At 39.6% G+C, this 24,713-nt stretch overlaps 1 protein-coding gene across 10 annotated transcripts in view; it reads left to right on the top strand.

Annotated features, from left to right (window-relative positions):
- The window catches only part of SEMA5A (semaphorin 5A), a 511,043-nt gene that overhangs the window by 206,681 nt on the left and 279,649 nt on the right, over window positions 1-24,713 (top strand). For 9 of the 10 annotated variants that reach the window (XM_011514158.3, NM_003966.3, XM_011514157.3 and 6 more), the window contains 2 exons: window positions 1,583-1,682; window positions 20,978-21,023. In XM_011514158.3, coding sequence (XP_011512460.1) covers window positions 1,583-1,682; window positions 20,978-21,023 — 146 coding nt within the window. The remainder of the gene's footprint in view (window positions 1-1,582; window positions 1,683-20,977; window positions 21,024-24,713) is intronic. The other variant, XM_047417867.1, reaches the window with a different exon arrangement.

Genomic DNA, 24,713 nt, shown 5'->3' with positions numbered 1-24,713 from the left:
GGGGGCACCATGGCCTCCCATGTTGCTGTCTTGCTTTGCCCCTCTAGGACATCTTTCCTGTCACTCTCTGGTCAAATCTTTCCTCTTGTTTTACTGCAGCTCTCAATCATCTCTTCTTTTCATATAAGAATAATTCCTGTAACCCCACAAGCCCCTATAAACACTTGCATTGATAGACACCCTGTTTAAAGATACTAGTGCTGTTTCTTTAACTGAATTATAAAGTCCTGGAAGGATTATTAATAACTTTTCATAGTTCCATTGCCTTGTACATACCTTGTTCTACGTATTTTAATTGATTTGCCTATAAAATGTAGAAATTTATATGAAAATCCTTAAAAAAATCAAGCTATCATATACATTACAAGTCCCTCTCTATATGACTCACCCCTGGTTTCCTTTAAGCAGAAGATAAATTTTACTTGATATCACTTCCCCCTCGTAACTGTTAGTAGAGAAAAGACATGTTTATTATACAGAACCATTCCTGAAAAAATAGTCCCTCTCATTCACATCAACAAAGCGATTTCTTTAGGATATGAGACGGAATGGGGGCATATTTCCATATGCCCCCATTAAAAACATAACACTGATGTGTTTAGCATCAGCGTTTGTTGGAGGAGATTCTTTCCTGTATCACACACTTTTTCCTCAAACCAACATCTTCATTGATTTGACAGTTGTTATGTGCCTGGTTAGTCAGGGTGGTGTTATTCAAAATACTAAATCCAAGAAAAAACGACAATCAGATGTTATGGTTAATTGTCAATGATAATGATAAGGTATCCCACGTTTGGTGGGCAACTCACTGAATATTTTTTAGTGTTAAAAATGAGCTAATGAAAGTTGCAAAAATGGCTCATTGAAGCAGCATCCTATCTCTCCTCAAATACTGTCATTTTATAATTATCGGACTCTGGGCTGGAGGCTGTCTAATAGGAGTTAACCGTGCTTGTAAAAGCCTGTCTCTATAGAGTGGCTATTTTCTGATTTCCCTTAGAAAAAAAAATGCAAATGAAGCCTAGAAGTAACTGTGGATTTCTCATCTAGAAAGGTCGGAATGTGTTTAACAAGTCTAATCATGGGGCCAAAATAGAAACCCAAAGGACAGGGAAATGGAACATCTAATTTGAAAGAAGGCAAATGATGCTTGTGTGCTTGGTCCTTGCTCCTAAGGAGGCTTTTGTAATATTTAAAAATCTGCAGCTCTTTTGAGTCAAGTTGCACAGGAAATGGTCTTGTTTGCATTCAGTATTCCTCTGATGAATCATGTGAATGCTGTGTTATTTTCTGCCCAGCCCAAAGCCAAAAGGAAAATGCACATCTGGCTTGTAAATCACAACCAAGCATTGATGCCTCGCTTGCTCTTTATTGGGTGGCTGCCCTCTGTGCTTTACAAGTTCTTAGTATGGCTTATGGGGCATCCTGAGGGAAACCTCCAGTGGCCTCTGAAAGATGGCATAGAGGGACCTCCGAATCCTCTCTGAAATGTAACGTCTGCTACCTGATGTGCACTATCTGTGGTCCCCAGAGGAAAAATAATTCATTTTTATCTTTTTATTTATTTATTTTTTCTATTTAGAAATTGGCCCCTGGTTACGGGAGTTCAGAGCGAAGAATGCTGTGGATTTCTCGCAGTTAACATTTGACCCAGGACAGAAAGAACTTGTTGTAGGAGCAAGGTGAGAGATATTGTATTTTGCCACCACAGATATTTTTGGACTTCATTTTACATCTGTGCAGTTACATGTGACCTTCACTGACAAAACTGAAGAATGCTGAATAATATTATTTCTTATAAGAATGAAATACAGTATGAGTGTCATAAAATATACTACTGCTAATAAGATGTTGATGGCTGCCCGTTAGAGTAAGCATTGATCGGGCCCTCACCCTGTGCCAGTAACTGTTCTAACATGAATTAACTCATTTGTTCCTCCATTCAAACCTAAGAGGTAGGTACTATCAACATTGCTGTTTTAGAGATGTGGAAACTGAGGAAGGAAGTAGATAAATAAGTTGTCCGGGGCATATGCCTAAGAAAAGATGGACCTGGGTTCCAAACCCAGTCAGTTTGACTCCTGAAAACATGTTCCTGACTTCCCACTATATTCTTCAGTAGGATTCTAGAGATCCAGAGATCTTGATGTGTACCCCAAGGCCCACCACCACCTTTCTTTGTTACCTTGATTAGGCCATATACCAGTAAATTGAGATTCAACGAAGTTATTTTTATCTTTATCTCTTAAGGGTGTGAGTGTTCCCGTATCTAGGTCAACATCTGCATCCCAGTTTGACAATGAGGCCACTGGAACACAATCCAAACAAATTTGAGTTCTTTCCCCTGTTTTCACTATCACTTCCTTAGAAAACCTGCATAATCCTTGCATTTAAATTACCTATTTTGGGATTATATATCCATCTTTTAGGAAAATTGACATTAAAGTTTAAGAAAGGGTCCATTTGTAGAATTGGGTTCCTCTGGCATCTAAGGATGGCACATTGGGCAGTGGAGAGTTCATTATATTTTTTGTCCAAATGTACCAGAGTATAAAGCATGCCTGCCATAGCTACAGAGGTTTTGCAGTCTCTCTATAAACACGAGTGCAGCTAAATCTAGCTTATAGTCTGGGCACTCTAGATAAACATTGAACAGTTTCTAGGATCGTTGCTTTTGCTCTTGGATCTTGAGGTGTCCTTGTACATCCACTCAACACTTGAAGTGATGAATGGTTGTAATTTTACATGAGTAGGAAGAAGTTGGCATAGTTTATTGCACCTAGCAAGTTACCTTCACCTCTTTTGACGTTTGTGAGGAGGCGGTGAGTATGGATTGGACAAGGCTACTTGGTGTTCTCTTCCTTACCTTAGTCCAGTAGCAATACTGGGGGATTTCTGATGCTCACTTCCAACAAATTTCATCACTTGGAGTTCGGCCTGTGTTTTGCAGTGGTGTTAAATCAGTCTCCTGGCCTCCAGATGTTCTCCTCCTTCTGCATACCACAGCCAACATCATCTTTTAAAAATGCCCACCTTCAGTAGCTCCCATTGGATATAAGCTGTCTCCCTGGTGTGGTACGCCAGCCCTTCTGCCCTGCATTCCCACTTCCCTTCCAGACTTGCCTGTTTTCATTCTCACATGGTCCAGGCATGTGGAATTATTTATTCTGCCTACACTTATGGAATATGCTCTTTCTTGCCTCTGGGCTTTTTCCCTTCTGACCTCTTTCTCATTTTCTGGAATACTGGCTGCCACCAACCCCCACTCCAAATTATCTGCTTGGTAAACTCCCACTTGTAGTAAGGACCTGGCTCAAGGGTCCACCAGCAGTCCTGAACCACCACATTCTCTGTCCTGTGTGGCCCTAGTAACATACTGGACATCTACTTTTTTTTTTTAACTGCACTTAATGTACAATATTGCATTATTTCTTGACAAGTCACCCTTATCAGATGGTGACTTACCAGAAGGCAAGGGAAGTGCCTGTCTTTTCTTTATTTCTCCAGCATATAGCACAGATTTTTCCTGCTTATAGAAGCTCAAAGATACCTGTTGATTCAACACATTTATTTCCAGAGTTGAATTTGTCTATGTTCCCCTCTGCATCCAGGTGAACACTTAGGGAAAAGGGGGTTGGGATTATAACAATTTATCTCAGACACCTACATCTGGCAAGGGCATGAGCCAGTGGCAGGCTGTATACACCAAAGCTCACCCTGAGGGAAAATGAGCTTTCACTCTGAGTCAAGGGAACAGACCCCTTACCGGGGTGGGGCAGGTACAAATGTGACCCCAATTAGTGTTTTGAGTCTTGCATCCCTCATTCATCTCTAAAGAACTTTGGAAAGGCTTTTCTATGACTTTGACTCATGAGATTCTCTTGTTGTCTCTGGAGGTCCTGGGTGCTGTGTGAACAGACCAGCGCTTCATTCTCTGCAAGTGGTTGGCTTTTGGTCAGTGACTCAAGATTTTCCTAAGGGATGTGAGAAGCCACAGAGCAAATTAGGGTATTTTGAAGAGATGTCTTATGCTCCTGTTCTGGCTGTGGATGGCAGCTGGGAATTGTTTTCAAGGGGTACCTGTCCCAGGAGGTCTTCATCCCAGAGTCCCTGGAGTTCTCTATTCCAGTGTCAGTGGGGTGTCTCTCTCTCTCTCAGTATCCCTAGAGGTCTCTGTCCAATATCTCCAATGGTTTCCATCTCAGCATTCCTGGAAGTCTCTATCTCTGTGTCTTCTAGTTTCCCTGGAGCTTCCACCCCAGCATCCCTGTCGTCTCCATCCCAATGTCTCTAGAGTGTCCATCCCAGCGTCCCTAGAGTCTCCATCCCAATGTGTCTTGTGGCTTCCATCCCAGGGCCCCTGGAATCTGCAATTCAATATCCCTGGAGTCCTCATCCCAGACCTCATTCCTGGAGGTCTCCATCCATTGCATATCAACATGGTCTGCTGGGAAGGATCGGATGGGCCGCTGAGTCAACCTAGCATGCTGTATGGCATGGTGGACATGAATACATAGGATTGCCAGACTTAGCAAATAAAAATCCATGATGCCCAGTTAAATTTGAATTCCAAATAACAACCTTTTATATGTTTATCATAAGTATGTTCCAAAGGTTTGGTGACCCCGGGAGCATGGGCTGTAGTTTTTTATTCTAGAGCAGTGTGTGGTACATTATAGACACTTGATAAATAATAACAGAAAAAAAAAGAGGCTGGCCCCTACCTAAGTGACTCTAAGCCAGTTTCAGAGCCTGATTTTATCACCTGTAAAGATGATGCAACAATTTCTACCCCTTTCAGCTGTTGCGAAGATGAAATAAAATAACCCGTGAGAAGTTACTGTCACATTAACAGGCAGGCTGGTGAGCGCGCAGCCCTAGGGAAGCTCTGAGGGTCTTCATGGGTTTCGCATACGTGTGCATATGCCTTTCAGGCAGACGCTACCTAAAGAAGAGAATAGGAATTTCACCTGGGAAATTTCATGGGATTAGGCTCAGAAAGTTTGAGAGGGCATATGAGTAAGATATAAAACTTTAAAAATAACCCAGCCCTCAGATTCCTGTTTGGCAAAGCTTGATTTAGCAAGAGTAAGTTTAGATAACAGGTGTATATTTCAGAAATCAGTAATGGTTTAAAAATATGAGTTGTGAAAAAATAGAATAATAGTCGATTTTTTTTTCTCATAGCACTAGGCATTGTGGAACCATTTATTGGATGGTTTCACTTTATACTAGTGATACTGTATGTTCCTGAAATTGAAACAGTTAAAGATTCTTTGTACTCTTTGATAAAGGAAGTTCGTTAGGCTGCAAAAGAAAAGCCTCTCTTTCAGCCATTTGTGGTTATGGAGAATCGGAAGGTACTTGGATCTGAATTCAGGGAATTTCTGGAAGAAGTCATACATTTTCATTTCCAGGATGCACATGAACTTTCGTATTATGTTAAATGCATCAACAGTCATATCTTGTTTTCCCCCAGTCTCTTTAAAAGTTAATAATATTTGTGTTTTCAGTAATGAAACTTAGGTATCTTCATTTACAAAATGTAGAATATACAGTAAAGCATAAAGAAAAAAACAATTTCAGAGATAATCACAGTGAAGCATTTCAGTTATTTCCTTGCATTATTTGATTTCTATTTGTTCCTACTCTTGGGATAATATTTGTTGAATGATTGCATACTTCTTTGTCACAAATCCTACTAAGATCAGTTTCTTGGTATAAAAAATTCAAAATGAAAGAATATATTATGACTGGTTTTTGTATAGAAGATTATAAAAGGAATGGCAGTGATAACACTCCACACACTTGATACAAGTGTAAGTTTCACTGCAGATTGAATTGTTGCAACAGATACAAGGGAGGGTGATTACATTTTTATTTCCCAAATGAATTAGTTCGTCTTTAGTGTTTCAGGTTCATTCTAAGGGTGGCAAGTGATTCCATCCCGAATTACTCTGATATGTATTCTGTGCTGAATCCAAGTATTATTCCAAATGCCAACTAACTTGGTTGACACATAAGGCAGTGTTTGAATGCTGTTGGACATTTACAAATTGGCCATATTTTTATAATGCATAAAGACCTACAGTGCTAATGAAAAAGAGTTTATTATCAAAGCATCTGTAGCATGAGTCTTTGCCACTGAACTGTGGGGAAGATGTGGAGTCACTCTTTCTGGCTATTTAGGTGCTTTTCTTCAAAATGTGATTTTTCTAAATGAAAACATTTTTTAACATCTATCTCAGTTTCTAAAATGTGAATTTTCTTCAGGTTTTTAAATGTGTTTCTTGGTCTTTAAGTTATTTTCATCCAATTACTCAATTCTGATTCTCTTACTTTTCCCAAAAAGCTTGAGTGTAATATAAACATAAATCAAAGGGTACAGTCTTACAAACTGTGGTATTTTAGTAAGAAAGTTCGTCTGTAAGCTCTCAAACAAATACCTGTGAGTCCACATGGCCTAAACATCTGCCATGGGTAAGGTGGTGGGATTGAGGCCCACAGACCCAATACTTGGATCAGGTAATGATCATAATTCATAGCAGATATAATGATTTATGTCCTTGGAAATGTTTGATTTTAATTCTATACAAAATAACATCACAAAATGAGAACATTAAGTCACCAAGGGAACAAAAGGCACTAGAGATGCATGAGTCTTCTTGCACACCTGGCCCAATGTGAGTAGCAGCCCATAGCTGCATGCCTCACATACCTGATGTAATGTGAGTACCAGCCCATAGCTGCACACATTGCACACCTGACCCAATGTGAGTAGCAGCCCACAACTTCACACGTTGCACACCTGACCCAATGTGAGTAGCAGCCCATAGCTGCATGCCTTGCACACCTGACCCAATGTGAGTGCCAGCCCATAGCTGCATGCCTTGTACACCTGGCCCAATGTGAGTACCAGCCTATAGCTGCATGCCTCACACACCTGACCCAATGTGAGTACTAGCCTAAAGCTGCAAGCCTCACATACCTGACCTAATGTGAGTACCAACCCATAGCTGCATGCATTGCACATCTGACCCCATGTGAGTACCAGCCCACAACTGCACACGTTGCACACCTGACCCAATGTGAGTAGCAGCCCATAGTTGCACACCTTGCACACCTGACCCAATGTACCAGCCCATAGCTGCATACCTCACACACCTGACGCAATGTGAGTACCAGCCCAGAGCTGCATGCCTTGCACATCTGACATGATGTAAGCACCAGTCCATACTGCACACTTTGCACACCTGACCCAGTGTGAGTACCAGTCTATAACTACACACCTTGTACTTCTGACCCGATGTGAGTACCAGCCCATAACTGCACGCCTTGCACACCTGACCCAATGTGAGTATCAGCCCATAGCTGCCTGAATACCTTGCACTAAACCCCTTGACTTACCATTACAGTATTTCTAGATATCAGAAGATATGTCTGTATAAATGTATGTGCAACAAATAGTATGGATTTCTGATCCTTTTCGTTTATTATTTTGAACCATTTGTTTGGCTAATGGTTTGAATTTACAAAACTACAGATAAAAAAGGAAAGATTAACTTGCTGTTTTTATGCTCTGGCTGAATTTGCTGTAAGTATTCAAAACCCTTAAACGATAAACTTAGGTGCATTAAAATTTTAACAAGTTTATTTGAACATTTAGAGATTTAGGAATCAAGCATCACCAGACTTCCAGCAGCTCTCCACTTGTGGGTGGGGGTGGCAAGGGAGGAAACTTTTATAATATTCTTCCCAGAAACAAGACAAAGAAAATGCCTCTAGTTGGTTAAAGTGGAAACTCCCTAGTTAGAGGTTAGTTGGTGGTTTCTAATTGGTTAAGTCTGAAGTTAGACTTTAGTTAGGGTTTTGTTTCTGATTGGTTAAGCTTAAGTTTCCTTTTACTATTTACATTGAGTTGAATTTTGGTTTGTTTACATAGGAACCCAAGACAGTGAAGCCTCCTCAATCTAATGGCCTCCCAATTATTTTAACATAGCATATATTCTTATGAGACGCATAAAATAAACGGTAGGCTTCTATTTAATGAGTTTCTTCTTTACAAAATGACTTTATCACACTGGTTCTAAACAAGGGGGATTAATTTTAAATTCACATAAAATTTATTTTAAACAACTGGCCAATATCATTATTTTTCGGTGATTATAATTCTTATTTTTACTTGAAAATTTTACCTTGGAATTACTCTTTTGGAGGCAATATATAATTAACAGGAAAACTGAAGATGTTTATCAGATCAGCGATTCTGCTTCCAGTAGCCACACTTATTCGTCTTTTCCAAAGAGTATATTTTAGTCAAGTTGACACAATTAAAGGGAATACATGCTGAGCGGTATGAAATCAGAGATTAGCAGTGAATGCAAAAAGGAGTAGAACCCCATTGTGGGAAGAGATCCCAGGTAATGCTGATTTTCATGTTGTGTTTACATTAATTATGACTTAAGACAAGCAGCTGGTGATGGAAAAGGAACAGTGCTTTTCACTGCAGTCTTTTTTGTCCTCTTCCAATCAAATCTTTATGAACCTCCACTTTAGGGTTTAAAGGTTTCCCCTTCTCTGTCCCTTTCCTTCTCAGGGCTGGCCCCTATGCACAGGTATGTCCTTTATGATTCTCTGGGCTTATCTCTCTCTTTCTTCTACTTGTTCTCCCCTTTCTTCTAATTCGCTTATTTGATTAATTTACCCAATATATGTTAAAAAGTCTCCTTGTTGTCTGCTGGCTTTGTTACCTTTTGTCCAACATTTGCCAAACATTAATGTTCTTAAGTATTAGCTAGGACATTTGTTCAAAATTAAGATGCCCCTCCCAGCTCTGCTGATTTAGCTGGCTCAGGGTGTGTGCTTTTAACAAACTGGTGGCCAACTGACATGCCTGGGAAAGATTTCTAACCATTCTGTTCCTTCTGCTATTGTAAAAAAACAAAACAAAACAAAAACAAAAACAAAAACAAAAAAAACTAATCTGTACTTTTTTTTTTTTTTTTGAGACAGAGTCTCGCTCTGTCGCCCAGGCTGGAGTGCAGTGGTGTGATCTCAGCTCACTGCAAGCTCCGCCTCCCGGGTTCACGCCATTCTTCTGCCTCAGCCTCCCGAGTAGCTGGGACTACAGGCGCCCGCTACCACGCCCGGCTAATTTTTTGTATTTTTAGTAGAGGCGGGGTTTCACCATGTTAGCCAGGATGGTCTCAATCTCCTGACCTGGCGATCCGCCCACCTCGGCCTCCCATCTGTATTTTTTTTTTCCCTGCTTGAGTTGGGAGAATATCAGCCTAGTACAACAGTTATCTATTTAGTTATAAGCAAGTAAGTACATACAGTTGGTCCTCCCTGGGTTCTGCATCTGCAGATTTAACCACAAGCCTAAAATATTTGGAAAAATTAAAAACAAACAATACAACAATAAAAATGATACCAATAAAAACAATATGGCATAACGACTATTTACATTTATAATGTGCTCGATATAAGTAATCTAGAGATGATTTAAAGTATATGGGAAGATGTGCATAGGTTATAGGCAAATACCAATCCATTTGATATCAGGGACTGGAGCATCCATGGATTTTGGCACTCGAGGTGGTCTTGGAGCCAATGCTCTGGGGATACCAAGGGACAGCCGTAAATAAATAAATAAATGTACAAAGGCTTCCTATTTCCCAGATCCCATGAGCAAACCAACAAAGGGCTGTGATAATAATTGAATAACTTATTTGCATGTACATGTGCTACAGACTGAGTATTGAGAGCTTTTCTCCTACCAGGTCCACATGGGGTTCATCCAAATGTATTAGTTCATGTAGTTCTTCTTTCAAGACTCTGTGTTACTCAAATATTTATTGAACCTACTTTATGCCAGGAAGCTTCTTAGGCATTAGAGAAACAAAGATGAAGCATCTTCTCTACCTGATGAGGACTTTCTAGTCCAGCGCAAGGGTTGGCAAGCTGGGGCCCCAGAGTTGCCTCCTGTTTTTGTAAATATGCTTTTATTGGCACACAGCCACACCCACTCATTCACACATCTTCTGTGGCTGCTTTTGAGCTAAAACTGCAGAGACGAGTAGTTGGCACATAGACCACAAAAGCAAACTATCTGCTCTCTGGCCCCAAAACAAAAAGTATGATGATCTTGGCCTAGTGGGTGAGACGGGCACAAGCAATTAGATTCTCCAAGGGAAGCCTGAGTAAAGGGTCCTGAAAACACCAAGAGTAAAGGGATATGATGGTGCATCGATCTGAAGAGGCTGCATAGAGAAGGTGTTCCTCCAACGGGGCCTGAGAGATGCTTGAGGAATCTGGCAGGGAAGACAGAGAGTCACATGGGAAAAGTCAGAGATTCTGATGAGGCTGAAAAGTGCTTGGCTCCGTGGCACCTGTTGGTGACAGAGAGGGGGAAGTAATTATAGGTGAAGCTCTGAGCATTAGCTGGGGCCAGATTATAAAGAAGTTTAGACTTAGTCCTCTAGACCAGTGACTCCAACTGGGCCAGTCTTAGGTTCACCTGACAGGCCTTTCAAGAGTGTAGATGTCCAGGCCTGTCCTCAAGTCCTCTGAATTCCACTTTCCGGAAGTAATGCCAGAATCTTTTTTGTGAGAGAGAGCATCACTCTTGTTGCCCAGGCTGGAGTGCAGTGGTGCAATGGTATGATCTCGGCTCACTGCAACCTCTGATTCCTTGGTTCAAGCAATTCTCCTGCCTCAGCCTCCCGAGTAGCTGAGATTGCAGGCACCCACCACCATATCCGGCTAATTGTATTTTTAGTGGAGACAGGGTTTTACTATGTTGGCCAGGCTGGTCTCGAACTCCTGACCTCAAGTGATCCACCCACCTTGGCCTCTCAAAGTGCTAGGATTACAGGCATGAGCCACTGTGCCCGGCCAGAATCTTTGATTTAATCAAGCTCCCATTGCTCTGCTGGCTTGGTAAATTTGAGAACCTCTGCTAAAGGCATTGAGGAGCCCAGGAGATTTCTACATTTATATGTTCACATAATCATATTTGCATTAGGAAGATACGTCCACCATATTGTGTGCAGGATGCACTAGGCACTAGAACTTGCAGAATTTGGAGCGAGGCATGGCAGTTGCGGGTTGTGGATCAGGTGAGAGTAGAGGGTGCTTAGACTTAGGCAGTGATGATGGCAATGGAGATGAGAAGCCAGATTTGAGACACGTTTCAGTTCTGATTTTGACAGCAATTGATGGCCAACAGAGTGGGTTGGCTGGTGGGAAGCATCAAACCATTCAGTGAGTTTTGGGAGTGTGACTGGGATAGAGCATATGGGAGGATGAGCTGTAATTCTTTGATTATTAGAAGATACATGAGAAAAAAGATCTCAGATTTGTATGAATACTGAAGATAACCTAGAAAATTAATTGTATATGGAGATAATTTAAAGCATGAATAGTCCTAGGAAATCACAGGTTAAAGGAACCATAGAAATATTCAGTTGGCATTTTTTTTCAAATGAAAAATTATCTCTGTTAACTGAAAAACAGAAAGGAACAAATCAGATACCCAGAGGACCCACAAAGGCAAAAGTCGCGAGTTAAATTTAGAGCAATAAATCATCATCTGTAATCCTCACAGCACTTAGAGATTTGCAAGTAATAATTAAAGCATAATAAAATGTAAACTATTAGTGTAATTATTAACAATATTGATTAATAACTTTTACCCTAAATATATTTGTGGGAAAATATTTTCCTGATTTTATATCTCTAAGATTTGCTGGCGGCATTGTTTAGTTACTGCATGCCATTAAAATGTATCTTTGTTATTTCATTCTACTTGCTAAATAATAAGAGACTATCCATCTATTTTTGCACCTTTTAATCTTGGTATTTAAATATATAAGAATGCTATTAAAATGGTTTGATCTCAGTTTTAGTGTGTTCTTTGAAATTTATTTCTAATAACCAAGACTTTTAAGGAGCTCAAAATGCTCTTTCTGGGATAGGGAATGAAAGAAGTTAATATGATTCTGGGAGAATGGGTACCAGACACACGTAACAGTATTAACAGCAACAAAAATTAAATTACAGTTATCTTGAAATTTGCATAGCCCGAAGAATACATATTTACTATTTTTGAGGAGGGTAGAGAAAATTCTGACTGAGGAGATAGCTAATCACATGACCATATTATAAATTTGTCACCATATTTTAAAATATTTTAGAAAAAAACTCACAAAAGAATTAAAAACTGTGATTTAAATGTGATCTAACTATTTAAATATAATGTGATACTATTTGGAAAGGCTTTGTAATTTTGAAATTTAATTATCTTCTGAGAAACCCATGAAAAAAATACATGAAGCAGACATTTTTTAGGATAGTTATAACCACAAAATAAAAAGTCTCCTAGAATTTACTTAGAGTCGACCAGCATAATGAAAAGTCTTGGAAATCACAATTATAGACATGCTGGTGAATTGGTGAATTATATGAGTTGGTTACATGATTAAATTAAATCATTATATTTAAATTTACTGATATGATCACGATATTAAATATTTACACTTAGATAATCAAACTAATTTTACAACACTTTATGTTTTAAAGGATATAGTTACTATTTTTCCTTATTTTATTTATTTATTGAGACTCGCTCTGTAGCCCAGGCTGGAGTGCAGTGGCAGGATCTCTGCTCAGTGCAACCTCCACCTTGCACATTCAGGGATTCTCGTGCCTCAGCCTCCCAGGTAGATAGGATTACAGTTGTGCACCACTACGCCCAGCTAATTTTTTTGTATATTTAGTAGGGGTAGGTTCCCGCCATGTTGGCCAGGCTAGTCTCGAACTACTGACCTCAGGTGATCTGTCTGCTTCGGCCTCCCTCATGCCTGTAATCCCAGCACTTTGGGAGGCCCAGGCAGGGGGATCACCTGAGGTCAGGAGTTCAAGACCAGCCTGGCCAACACAGCGAAACCCCATCTCTACTAAAAACACACAAAAAATTAGCTGGGCATGGTGGCGCGCACCTGTAATCTCAGCTACCCTGGAGGCTGAGGCACAAGAATTGCTGAATGCCTGCGATGGAGGTTGCAGTGAGCCGAGATGCTGCCACTGCACATCCAGCCTGGGCAACAGAGCGAGACTCCATCTCAAACATAACTTGTTATCTTCAAAAGTCTACCAGTGCAATTGAAAATGTGCGTATCATGTAGGATGTCACTATACTTGAAAAGTTCTGTGCCAGTTAGATGTTGACAGCAGTGAGGATGGAAGGAAACTTGCAGTGAGGAAAGTATTGTGTGCAGGAAGCTGGTGCAGGGACAGGAGAGACTGGTCAGCTCTCAGCCTTCCCCAACTGGCTCATGGGCAGTGTCTGTTTTGTCTTTGGATTGTTTCGTGATCAGCCTTGGTCTAAACTTTTATTAATCAGCAACAAACGTTTCTGTCAACATTGTTAAAATGTCTTTATACATTTTATCGGCTTCTGCCTTCATTTGCTCTAGTACAAAATACAAATCTACCTTCCTTAATTCTTCTTTTCTCAGTTGTAAGCAAACCTCTAACTCATACGTTCAATAGGAACTTGTAATTTTTTCTTTGATTTTATAGTCATATTCATCAGAGGCCAATTGAGTTATTCTAAGAGAATGTCCTTTTAAAACACCTGTGTCTTTCATAATTTATGGAGGTCAAAGTTAAGTTTTATAGTGTCTCTAGATGAAATGAGTCATTTAGTTAATATGCTCATGATGGCTCAACCTTTTCTTTAATGCCGGCTGCATTTTACTACTTTACATGAAGATACAAATGAACTTCATCTATTAAGGTCCCCACTGCTCCCTCCGAGAATATATTGTTATGCTTAGTGATTTGTTTCTAATAGGCCACTGGGGGAAGTGATGGGACCCAGGAATGAGTTATTCAATCCTAGAGTCAGTAAGCAAGAAACTTTGGTGAAGACGTAGAAAACGCACTCAGGTGTCTAGTGGGGAAACGAAGAATGGGCTTCAATATTGTGATTTTGCATCTGCCAAACTTAATAGCTTTGTGATTTGAATTATTCAGCCCATTGGATCTGTGTACTCCTCATATGTTATTACTCCTAAAAGGAATCTGGTTTATTGCACGTGAATGTGCAATGTCAAATTTTATTCCATGGCATTTGAGAAAAAAAAAAAAAAGTAGATCCATACCACAGGCAGAAAAAACTCATGTTTTTATTTGCTATAGCCATAACACTGAACTGTTACACTTTGGCAAACTCTTGCTTTTCATTTTGGTAATGACAGGAGAAAAATAGAAGTATAGAATCATTCCTCCAAGCTATACAACTAATGCATTCAAAGAATCTAATCTCTTAACCTCTTGCACCACTGCCTTTTTCCCTGAAGAATGGCAATATTCCTTATTACTACCTATTTACATCTAGGGGTGTTATGAAGATTAATGAGATCACTTAAATGCTTTGGGTTGCTCAAAGCATTGCCCTGTTAGGGAGACTGACCCTACTTGCAACATTTGGTTAGCATTTCCAGTTGGCCAGGGGCCAGAAGCATTATTCCTTCATGTTGGAAAGGCTGGTGGCCTTTCTCATGAACCTCACGCATATTGTTTTCCCTCCTCTGTGCTCACACAATTGCAAGATAAAGTGGTTGCCTCTTCTGTAATACCTTGGAGGACAGCCACTTGCAGGGTTCTGTAGATCTTACTTTAGTTTGTGAGTGGCCCAACACCTGGGAATATCAATTTTTTATCCCCTTTAGAAGGTTTTCTCTCTTTTTGTAACCTTTAACTTTGTAGGTCATTGACCTAAACTGTGATGGATCAAGCTGTCTTGAGAGATTTCAAGTCCCTCATGTTGCCAGCTGGCTTGGAATTTTTCCTACAGCAAAAATGCATTTGGAGTTGTATGTGGGGCCAAATAGTTCAAGGAAAGAGATTTGAGAATAGCAGAATCCACACTGTGTTTTATCAGATTCTTAGGTTCTTGGGATGTGATTAGGGAATTCCACAAATGTTTTACTTATGGTTCACCTTTTAAAATATTGTTTAGGCCAGGCACGGTGGCTCACGCCTGTAATCCCAGCACTTTGGGAGGCTGATGTGGGTGGATCATGAGGTCAGGAGATAGAGACCATCCTGGCTAACACGGTGAAACCCCGTCTCTACTAAAAATACAAAAAATTAGCCAGGTGTGGTGGCGGGCGCCTGTAGTCCCAGCTACTCGGGAGGCTGAGGCAGGAGAATGGCGTGAACCCAGGAGGCAGAGCTTGCAGTGAGCCAAGATAGCACCACTGCGCTCTGGCCTGGGCGGAAGAGCGAGACTCCATCTCAAAAAAAAAAAATAAAATAAAATATTGTTTAAAATAGCTGAAAATTGTAATAAGGTGAATACTAAACTGTTTGTGTAGTGAGGTATTTGACTACTTGGGTTTTCCATGGACCATAGTCATTTATTAAACTAATATTTAGGCCAGGCGTGGTGGCTCACACCTGTAATCCCAGCACTTTGGGAGGATCACTTGAGGTCAGGAGTTCAAGACCAGCCTGGCTAACATGGTGAAACCCTGTCTCTACCAGAAATATAAAAATTAGTCAGGCGTGGTGGCATGTCAGTGTAATCCTGGCTACTGGGGAGGCTGAGGCAGGAGAATTGCATGAACCCAGGAAGTGGAGGTTGCAGTGAGTCGAGATCATGCCATTGCACTCCAGCCTGGGCGAAGAAGCAAGACTCCATCTCAGAAAAAAAAAAAAAAAAAAAAGGAAAAAAAGAAACATTTAAAAGCACCTACCAACTCTGTGCCTTAAAAATCAAACAAATAAAAAATCAACAAAAATATAACCAATCAACTGGCATGAATATACACATTAAATAGATGTTGATCTGTGTAAGATGATAAATAGTTCTGATAAGTGGAGTTTTAATTTTTTTAAGAAAGCTTCATCAACTGATTTTATTAACAAATACATAAGTACTTATTACATCAATTTATACTATTAAAGAATTATTGTATCTATTTTATATGTTGAGATTTCTTTTAAGATTATTTTGAAATAAGTTACTCAGTTGTGAAAAATAACACATGAAAAACACTTCTCAGGAAATGATTTAAATTTGCCATAATAAAAATACTTTTGTTGAATGGCCATTTATTCGTAGAACTTAGTTAGGCAATGTGTATATCTAAACATGGTCACAGTCTTTTGGGAATTTGTATTATTTAAATACATTGAGATAATTGTATAGTTTATCTCTTTCATTTTATAAGTTAAGAAATAGGGATATTCTTAGAATTAGGTATGGGCAGGGAGTTGTTCAGGCAAAATAAAAAGAGAGAAAAGAGGTGCCATTTAAACAGCCAGACCCGTAGGCTCAAACTGTTCTCCTCAAGGGGAGACATACATCACAGCCAGATCACAGTCCCAGAGGTGAAAATTGATGGCCTAGGATCAAAAGTTTGTTATTAGCAGAACTAAGACTTGAATTTTCTTAAAATGATTTGTAAATGTTGCTGTAAATGACCAGTGAAGTTATGAAATGGTAGTAGCATAAGAGCTGTTACTGTGTTTGTTTCTGTGTGTGTGCATGTTTGGTGCAGGTGAAATTAGGAAGGTGACATTGAATAACTAATAGGTGGGGCCTTGAGGCATAATGGGACAAAGGACACCAAGACACGGGGGGCTTGTTTCTAATCCCAGGACTTTCTCTGAAACCTTACAGTATTGGACAAATCTCACTGCAGCTGTTAATTTATAGAAGTTTTCTCATCTATAAATTGAAGGGTATATACTCTTTAGTGACTCTTAGTTCTTGATTTCTTAGACTCTATATTATTAGATTAAAAATATGGAATGGGGTAAAATAATCACCAATTTTTATCTTGCAACCCAGAAAATACTACAAAAAGAAAAGTTCAAATCCTCTGGTGCTTTCCTTCCTGGGGTATTGGATGTGGTGATGGTGATGGTGCTGGTGCTGGTGATGGTATTTCATAGTAACTGTGCTATTTTTCCTAGTAAGCATGCCCCTCCCTCCTCTTTGCCCCTTCCTTTCCCCTATTGAATACCTCTGCCATATTGATTTGTTATTACTGATGAGATGATTGGAAGGGCACCATAGCTCTCAGGTATTTGGAAGGAGAAGAGGTAGATGGTTAAACTCCACTAGCAATGTTTCTGGAGAGGAGGGGTACCTTTACAGCCCATTGGAACTTGAGAAGCAGAAAAATAATGATCAGAAGAGTTATATTTGCTTATGGAGGTGTGGACTGAGAAAGTGGCGTATTTTTTATTATAAGCCATTATCTTCTTCTATGGAAAACACCTGAAAACCGGAAGCAGGTGTTGTGGATGGCGATCTCTGTGTCTCCTCCACTCCCCTCTCCAAGTAGACAGAGAGCTCTCTGCTTGATCTGCACAGAGCTCTACAGAGCACTGCAGACTGTGCTATCGTCTTTTCTCAAGGCCCTGATGCACTTCCAGCTCTTCCTTTGTGTATGAAAGCTTCTTTTCAAGAAAGTTTCTGGAGACAGATACCATAGTGTGAACATACATGTGCACGTGTATGTGTGTGAGTAAGCAAGAAAGAATGAACCATGAGATATCACCAAAGCTCTTAGGTAATTCATTTACTAAATGAATGAGTTTCTTTTATTGGAAATATTTACTGAAGAAGTCCTTCTTAAAATTGCCAGTGGGTTGAAAAGGAGTAGGGTGACTGGATTCCAGGACCAATGACAAAATTAACATAGAAGTTGGCACCATTAATTGATGCTTACAATGGGTCAGACTTCATTCCAAGTGTTTTTCTTAGATTTAAACCTCACAACAACCCTAGGGAATGGGTTTGATTATTAGCTCCATTTTACAGATGAAAAGACTAAGGCATAGAAAGAAATGCTTTCTTCCTGAGATTGTATAGAGGCAGAACTCTGGTTTTTGCATGAATATTCTTAATTGCTAGGTAATGCTGACTCCCATAGCAGAGGGGCAGCCTCCTGAAACCAGAAAGACAGTGGGAAATATGTGAGGGTGGGGAGCTGAGCTGCTCATAGAGGCAACGGGTGTACAATGGCTAGTAATTTCCCTGGTGCCGCTATGTACTAGTTTGTTCTCACACTACTATAAAGAAATAGCTGAGACTGGGTAATTTATAAAGGAAATAAGTTTAATTGATTCACAGTTATACATGGCTGGGAGGGCTCAGAAAACTTGTAATCATGGTGGAAGGTGAAGGGGAAGCAAGCTTGGGCCTTCTCACATGGTGGCAGGAGAGAGAAATGCAAGCAGGGGAAATGCCAGATGCTTATAAAACCATCAGATCTCATGAGACTCACTCAGTATCATGAGAACAACATGAAGTAACCCGCCCCCATGATCCAATCACCTCCTACTAGGCCCCTCCCTGGACACATGGGGATTATGGGGATTAAAATTCAAGATGAGATTTGGGTGGGGACACAGCCAAACTATATCACACTGGTAAGCCCCGCTTCTGAAAGACTTGTCTGTGTGTGTGTGTAGATTTCTTGCTTCCCTTAGAGGAGGTGTGCTGGTTTCAAGGTCACACTGGGTGAAAGCTTGGCTAATGTTGAAATGCGAGTCACCCTCCAGTGCCACCTACCTTGGCTGCTTCAACATACTCTTCTGTATGTGCACCAAGTTCACATTTGTTCCTCTGAAAAGGACTTTTTGTTGTTGTTGAGACAGGATCTCTCTCTGTCACCCAGGCTGGAGTGCAGTGACAGGATCGTGGCTCACTGGAGCCTTGACCTCCCAGGCTCAATGGATCCTCCCACTTCAGCCTCCTGAGTAGCTGGGACTCCAAGCATGCACCATGCCACCTGACTAATTTTTGTATTTTTTCTTTTTTTGTAGAGATAGGGTCTCCCTATGTTGCCTAGGCCTGTCTAGAACTCCAGGACTCAAGTGATTGGCCCACCTTGGCCTCCCACAGTGCTGGGATTACGGGGCAATGTGCCTGGCCTGCAGATGACATTTCTGTTGGAGTCCTAGTCTTCTCATGGCACTGACTAAATCAAAAGACTTTCCTGTAATATTCCCTCCCCTCAGAGGTATCCTTAACCTGGTTCTACATAGAGGGCTGTAGCATTATAATAAAGGACAGGGGAATGTTTCCTGAAATGGCTTTGTGATGGAGGTGGCATGTGCCAAGCAGTGCTTCTGGGAGCTTCTCTTGGGGTATATCAGAGGTGAGATTTGAAAGGTGGAAAGAGTGTGGTAAGGAGACTATTGCTGTGGTTTGGGTGAGGCTGTTTTCACTCGGTTTAGAGAGGTGGTACCCCCATGTGAGGAGGCAAACTGTGTGAAACCTGAATGCCCAGGAGGCAATGCCTGGACTCATGAGACTACCTGAATGTGAGCCTAGTCCTCTTTCATCCTTCAGCTGTGTGTGTACATGTGCTTCTGAGTGCCGGCTTCCATGGGGGCTTTGTCCTCCCTAACTCTGTCCATAACTCATAGGGATGTTTCTTGGTCATCTCAAGGCTATGCCCTTGGGCCTCTTTGGCTGTCACTTGTCACTTCTACTGGGATATATGTCCAGTTTATATACCTACCCCCACCCCCCGCCCACGATAGTGAAAATAGTCAACATTTATGTCTTATAGGTGTTGTAAAACCAATAAGAAGTGACCTTGGACCAGCCCATTATAACAGCATCCTTGGCTTCTTGGAGATCCCACCTCGTGCTCATTTGCATCTTAGAGTTTGCTTACCATTATGTGCCAGCATGTTCTTGACATTATTATTTGCACTTAGGCTGGCTTTCTCCTCCCTTCCTCTTTGGGGTGCTGCTGGTGCACATCCCCGCCCCATCTTCCCATTTACATGATGCCAGGATTTCAGTTAGAGGCTGAAGCAAAGAATACTGAGGTAGGTTAATGAGTTGTTTCTAAAACCTACAACACTAGAGTCCAAAGCCCAGTGTAACTAATCTATCTTTTTTCTGTGTCCTCTACTGATCTCCACTGCATGTTTCACTATTCTTCCCCTTCTTTGTTGAAATTGATATTTTACTTTTCTCTAATTTCCTATTTTATACTTGGGCAGTGAAACTTGACTCTTTGAAGCCCTTGATGTCATCAGTTTCCTTTGGGCAGACCACCAAGTTCATGTTTCTTTTCTTTTCTTTTTAAACCAAATCCTATATAATGCAAGTTATATTTATGTATTTATTATTTATTTATTTATTTTTGAGACAGGGTCTCGCCCTGTCACCCTGGCTGAACTGCAGTGGTGTGATCACAGCTTACTGCAACCTCCACCTCCCAGGACCAAAGCATCCTCCTGCCTCAGCCTCCTGAGTAGCTGGGACTATAGGCATAAGCCAATATGCCTGGATAACTTTTGTATTTTTTGTAGAGACAGATTTTGCCATGGTTCCCAGGAGCCTGGCAACCTCTGCCTCTCAGGATCAAAATATCCTCCTGCCTCAGCCTCCCAAAGTGCTGGGATTACAGGTGTGAACCACCATGCCGGGCCCAAGTTCATATTTCTAAACGTTTATTACGTACTGAATCCATCTTACAAGGTAGAGTACTGTGAACCTCAGAGCATTGCTTGAATTCAAAATCTTAATTATAAAACATGGTGAATTTAGGTGATAATTATAAAGGAAGACCTATGAGGAATAGTTGTACATCATCTTAAGTAAAAGAGTTTCAGAATGGAATGCCCATGTCCTTTTATTTATTCCATATAGATCAAGAGATCCAGTTAATGACTTACACTTACCGTAAGTATGTACAGACACACCCCACTTATTCGTTAGCTTTCTCACCAATCTCTAATGTGTATTTGTTGACCTCTTGAATTCCTCTTTGTACTCTAAGATCCAAGGAAAGTAGTGCTGAACATATTCTTAGAAAGAAGATGCTTTTGAAGTCAAAATTATTATTTTCTTTGTTCTTGAAATTTTTATAAACTCTTAACTTTCTGTGATCTATTAAAAATAAAACTGCTCTGTTTTTGTATTTTGCAGAAACTACCTCTTCAGGTTACAGCTTGAGGATCTGTCTCTTATCCAGGTAGGTGCAATTTATTTTTCTCAAGCTTTCATTTTCCATCCCAATTAACTCACTGTTTGAGGGGATGAAGACAGATGCATGTAAAGGTGTTAATCCAGCCTGAGCAGGGGCTCGTTTCCTCAGCAGGTCAGGCCACGGGACTAAGGCGGCCCTACTTGTTACGAGTCATTACCTCCCTTAATTCCTGATTAGCCTTTTCCTCCTGTCAGGTGGCCCTGTTTGTTCCGTGGATGTGATCCTGATTTGTCCTTCCTTAGATGACAGACCATTCAAGGAACATTGCTTCAAAGCCTGGACACATTCCTTCCCCCACAGTTACAGCAATCATCGATTATTTAGTTTGATGCATCCGGGCATCAATTTCTTGTAAAACAGCTTTGTTTCCTCTTTATAATTTATATTAACATAAATATGAATACTTGGGTTAAAAGCTATCTATAACAAAGAATAAAGGGAAATAGATCAAAATGAAATTTACCTACTTCTGTTGTTGCGGTTTGAACAATGGACCTGAGATCTTGTACTTAAATGAAGTATTTATTTTAGTAGCAGATCTGAGTCACAAAAGCCCACTTTTCCCTCTAGTCTTTAAAAAGTGTCTCCTAGAAAATAAGAGAGTTAAGACACAAATATCTTCTTCACCAAGATTCTGGAACTCCCTACAGACTATGCCAGAATCTTCGGGCTGTGTAGAGTTTGGAAAAAGTTCTTCAACCAATTTTCGTCTCACTCTCATGTGCTAGAGCTCTAAGAGGTGATTGGAGAGGATTTTATATTATTTTATTCTCTCTTTAATGCTGCTGCTTGTGAACATTTAGGGAACTTCAGAGCTAGGTTTTAATATTAAATCTATCTTTTACTTAGCAAGGTGTTAAAATCAGCCAATCCCCTGATCAAAGCTAATATTGATAAAAAGCAAGGGCTTTGAAGACACATCAACCTGATTTGTGATCTAGTTCCATGACTTCTAGGAATTATTGGTTCCTCATCTGTGAAATGGTCACAAATCACTGCCAACTCCATACTAGCATGGCGAAAAATAAGTAAGACGTTCAAAAGAGATAAAACATTGCAATTTATCAAGAATTTTCTATTATTCTTGATTTTTTAAAGTGATGATAATAAATAATAAATCTCCATTATAATAGTTTTATCACAATTGACAATAAATTGTCTTTCCACTGCAATTTAGTACATAACTGGAGTCTTTCATTGAGCTAATTGAGTGGTAAAATTATGAATTTATTATTAAGGAATCAGAATGATCAGCAATTTGAAGACATTACCTTCAGTGAAATAATCCAGGCACAGAAAGACAAAACTGCAAGATCTCACTTATGTGTGAAATCTAAAAAGACAAACTCTTAGGAGCAGAGAGTGGACTGGTGGTTTCCAGGGGCCCAGAAGGTCAGGGAAGGTGTTAGGGAGATGTTGGCCACAGAACAAGAAATTCCAGTTAGACAAAGGAATAAGTTAAAGAGATCCATTGTATGACATGGTGACTATAACTACTAACAATGTACTATGTGCTTGAAAATTGCTAACAGAGTAGATTTCAAGTGTTCTCAACACCAAAATAAATAAATAAATAAATAAAGTATGTGAGATACCTGCATATTAATTAGCTTGATTTAGCCATTCCACAACGTATACGTATATCAAAGTGACATGTTGTACACTATCAATATATATAATTTTTATTTGCTAATTAAAAAAAGAATGATCAACAATTTAATCATAATGCCATTTTAAAGATTGTTTTAGATAACCTTTTCTAAAATATATATCGTTTAGTAGATAGAAACTACATATTATACTCATTTTGATTCTCATGGTATACTCTCTGGCATATCACTTGTGTTAAAAAGTGAGGTTTTGTAGGTCTGTGTGTGCACAAACATATATTTACATATACGCATTCATTTCTTTTTAAATTTGCTAGCTCCGTCAGCTGAGAGGGTTTAGAAGTATTCTTAGTAGCAGTGAACACACTTGATACATGTTACTTTGTTTCTAAACTTAATTCTCCATGAAAACAAACGAAGGATTTTTTTGAGAAGTGACTTAATCTAGAATTGGGCAAGGAGAACTCAGATAAGACTGGAAGAGCTTGTTGTTTCAGAAATTAAGGAAAATATTTAAAGAATGATGAGGGTGTGTCATAAGAAACTAGGAGCCAGCTTGAAGTGGGCTCGCTGAAGAAATCTGGGGCAATTTGATTGTCAAAATAGATAATGCCAGAGGTAGATTATAACACATTGAATAACATAAGAATCCATGAGTAGATGCTAACATAAAACATAAATAAATGAGTAAACAAATGCCAACTAATGAATATTGAAGGAATAATTTGATTAGGAGATTATGATTTGGCAACCATTATACTAAAAATCGATTTAGGCAAAAGTGATCAATAGATGCTAATTTATGGGTCAGAGTTTGATGACAGCCAGGATATTTATTCATGGTAGTCTTAAAGTACTTACCTATATGATACTTATTAATTACAACAGGAAAACTTATAACTTGATAGTAAAGAAATCTGGCAAATAGCCCATGACCAAATAGTCAAAGGTCAAGGGGAACTTCACCAGCAATGGGACAGAGTTCAGTGATTTGATGCACAGAGGACGCAGCAAGATGTCCTTGATATTTCAGCCAAAAATTATAACCAAAATTATAACTAATAACTTTATCATGAGGAACCATCAGATACACTGAGGGACATCCTACAAAAAACTGGCCTCTACCCTTCAGATATCACGAAGTCATGAAAGGTATGAAAAAAGAAGAAATAATAAAGAGCTCTTCCATCATAAAGCTCAACAAATAGACATGGGGATCAAATGCAATACTTGACCCAAATTGAATCTTGCAGCAGATATATTTTTTCTTACTATAAAGGACATTATTTGGACAACTGGAGAAATTCAAATGTCTGGATAAGATAGTAGAAATGTATTAATATTAATTTGTTGATTTTGATAACTGTAATATAGGAGAATGTCATTGTTTTTTGGAAAAGCATGCTAAAAGATATAGGGATAATGGATATCATTTCTGTAACTTATATCAAAATAGCTTTTAAAATTGTTATACACATACATACATAGAAGCTATACACATGTGCAGAGGCAAATATAATAAAGCAAATATGATACAGTGTTAACAGGGGAATCTAGGTGAAGGGCTTATGAGAGTCTATTGTGATATTTTTGCAAATTTTACTGACATGATGTCCAAATAAATAGATGCAAAAAAGTGAGGAGATGTATTTCCATTAACTCATGTGTATATATTTTTGTGAGGTCAAGGAAACTGATTGTACTTTTCTCATCATTGCCTCCTTGGTCTTGGCTGCCTTCGGTGGAAATCAGGTTGCAATTATTGATGGGATTGATGAGCTGTTACTGAAGTATAGGATGCCCATCAGTACCACCACGTGGTGAGAGCTTAGTCTACTGACATAGCACCAAGCAAGAAGACGTGACTTTTTGAACTGTGGTTTTAAAAATGCGGCTCTAATGATAGAGGTCAGACTGCTGTACCATTGGTGCAAAGCAGGGCAATTCTGCTTTTTCATATTATGTGGCTGTGTACGGAGTTCTGTAGCCTACTGTTTACTTAGTCTGGAGAGAGAAGGCTGGCAATTCATGACACACTTTTTTTTTTTATATCACGTGTCTCCAG

The sequence above is a fragment of the Homo sapiens genome, chromosome 5 (assembly GCF_000001405.40).
Source record: "Homo sapiens chromosome 5, GRCh38.p14 Primary Assembly".
Taxonomy (NCBI): domain Eukaryota; kingdom Metazoa; phylum Chordata; class Mammalia; order Primates; family Hominidae; genus Homo; species Homo sapiens.
Note: the sequence above shows the minus strand (reverse complement) of the source record. Positions and strands in the feature narration are given on the sequence as shown.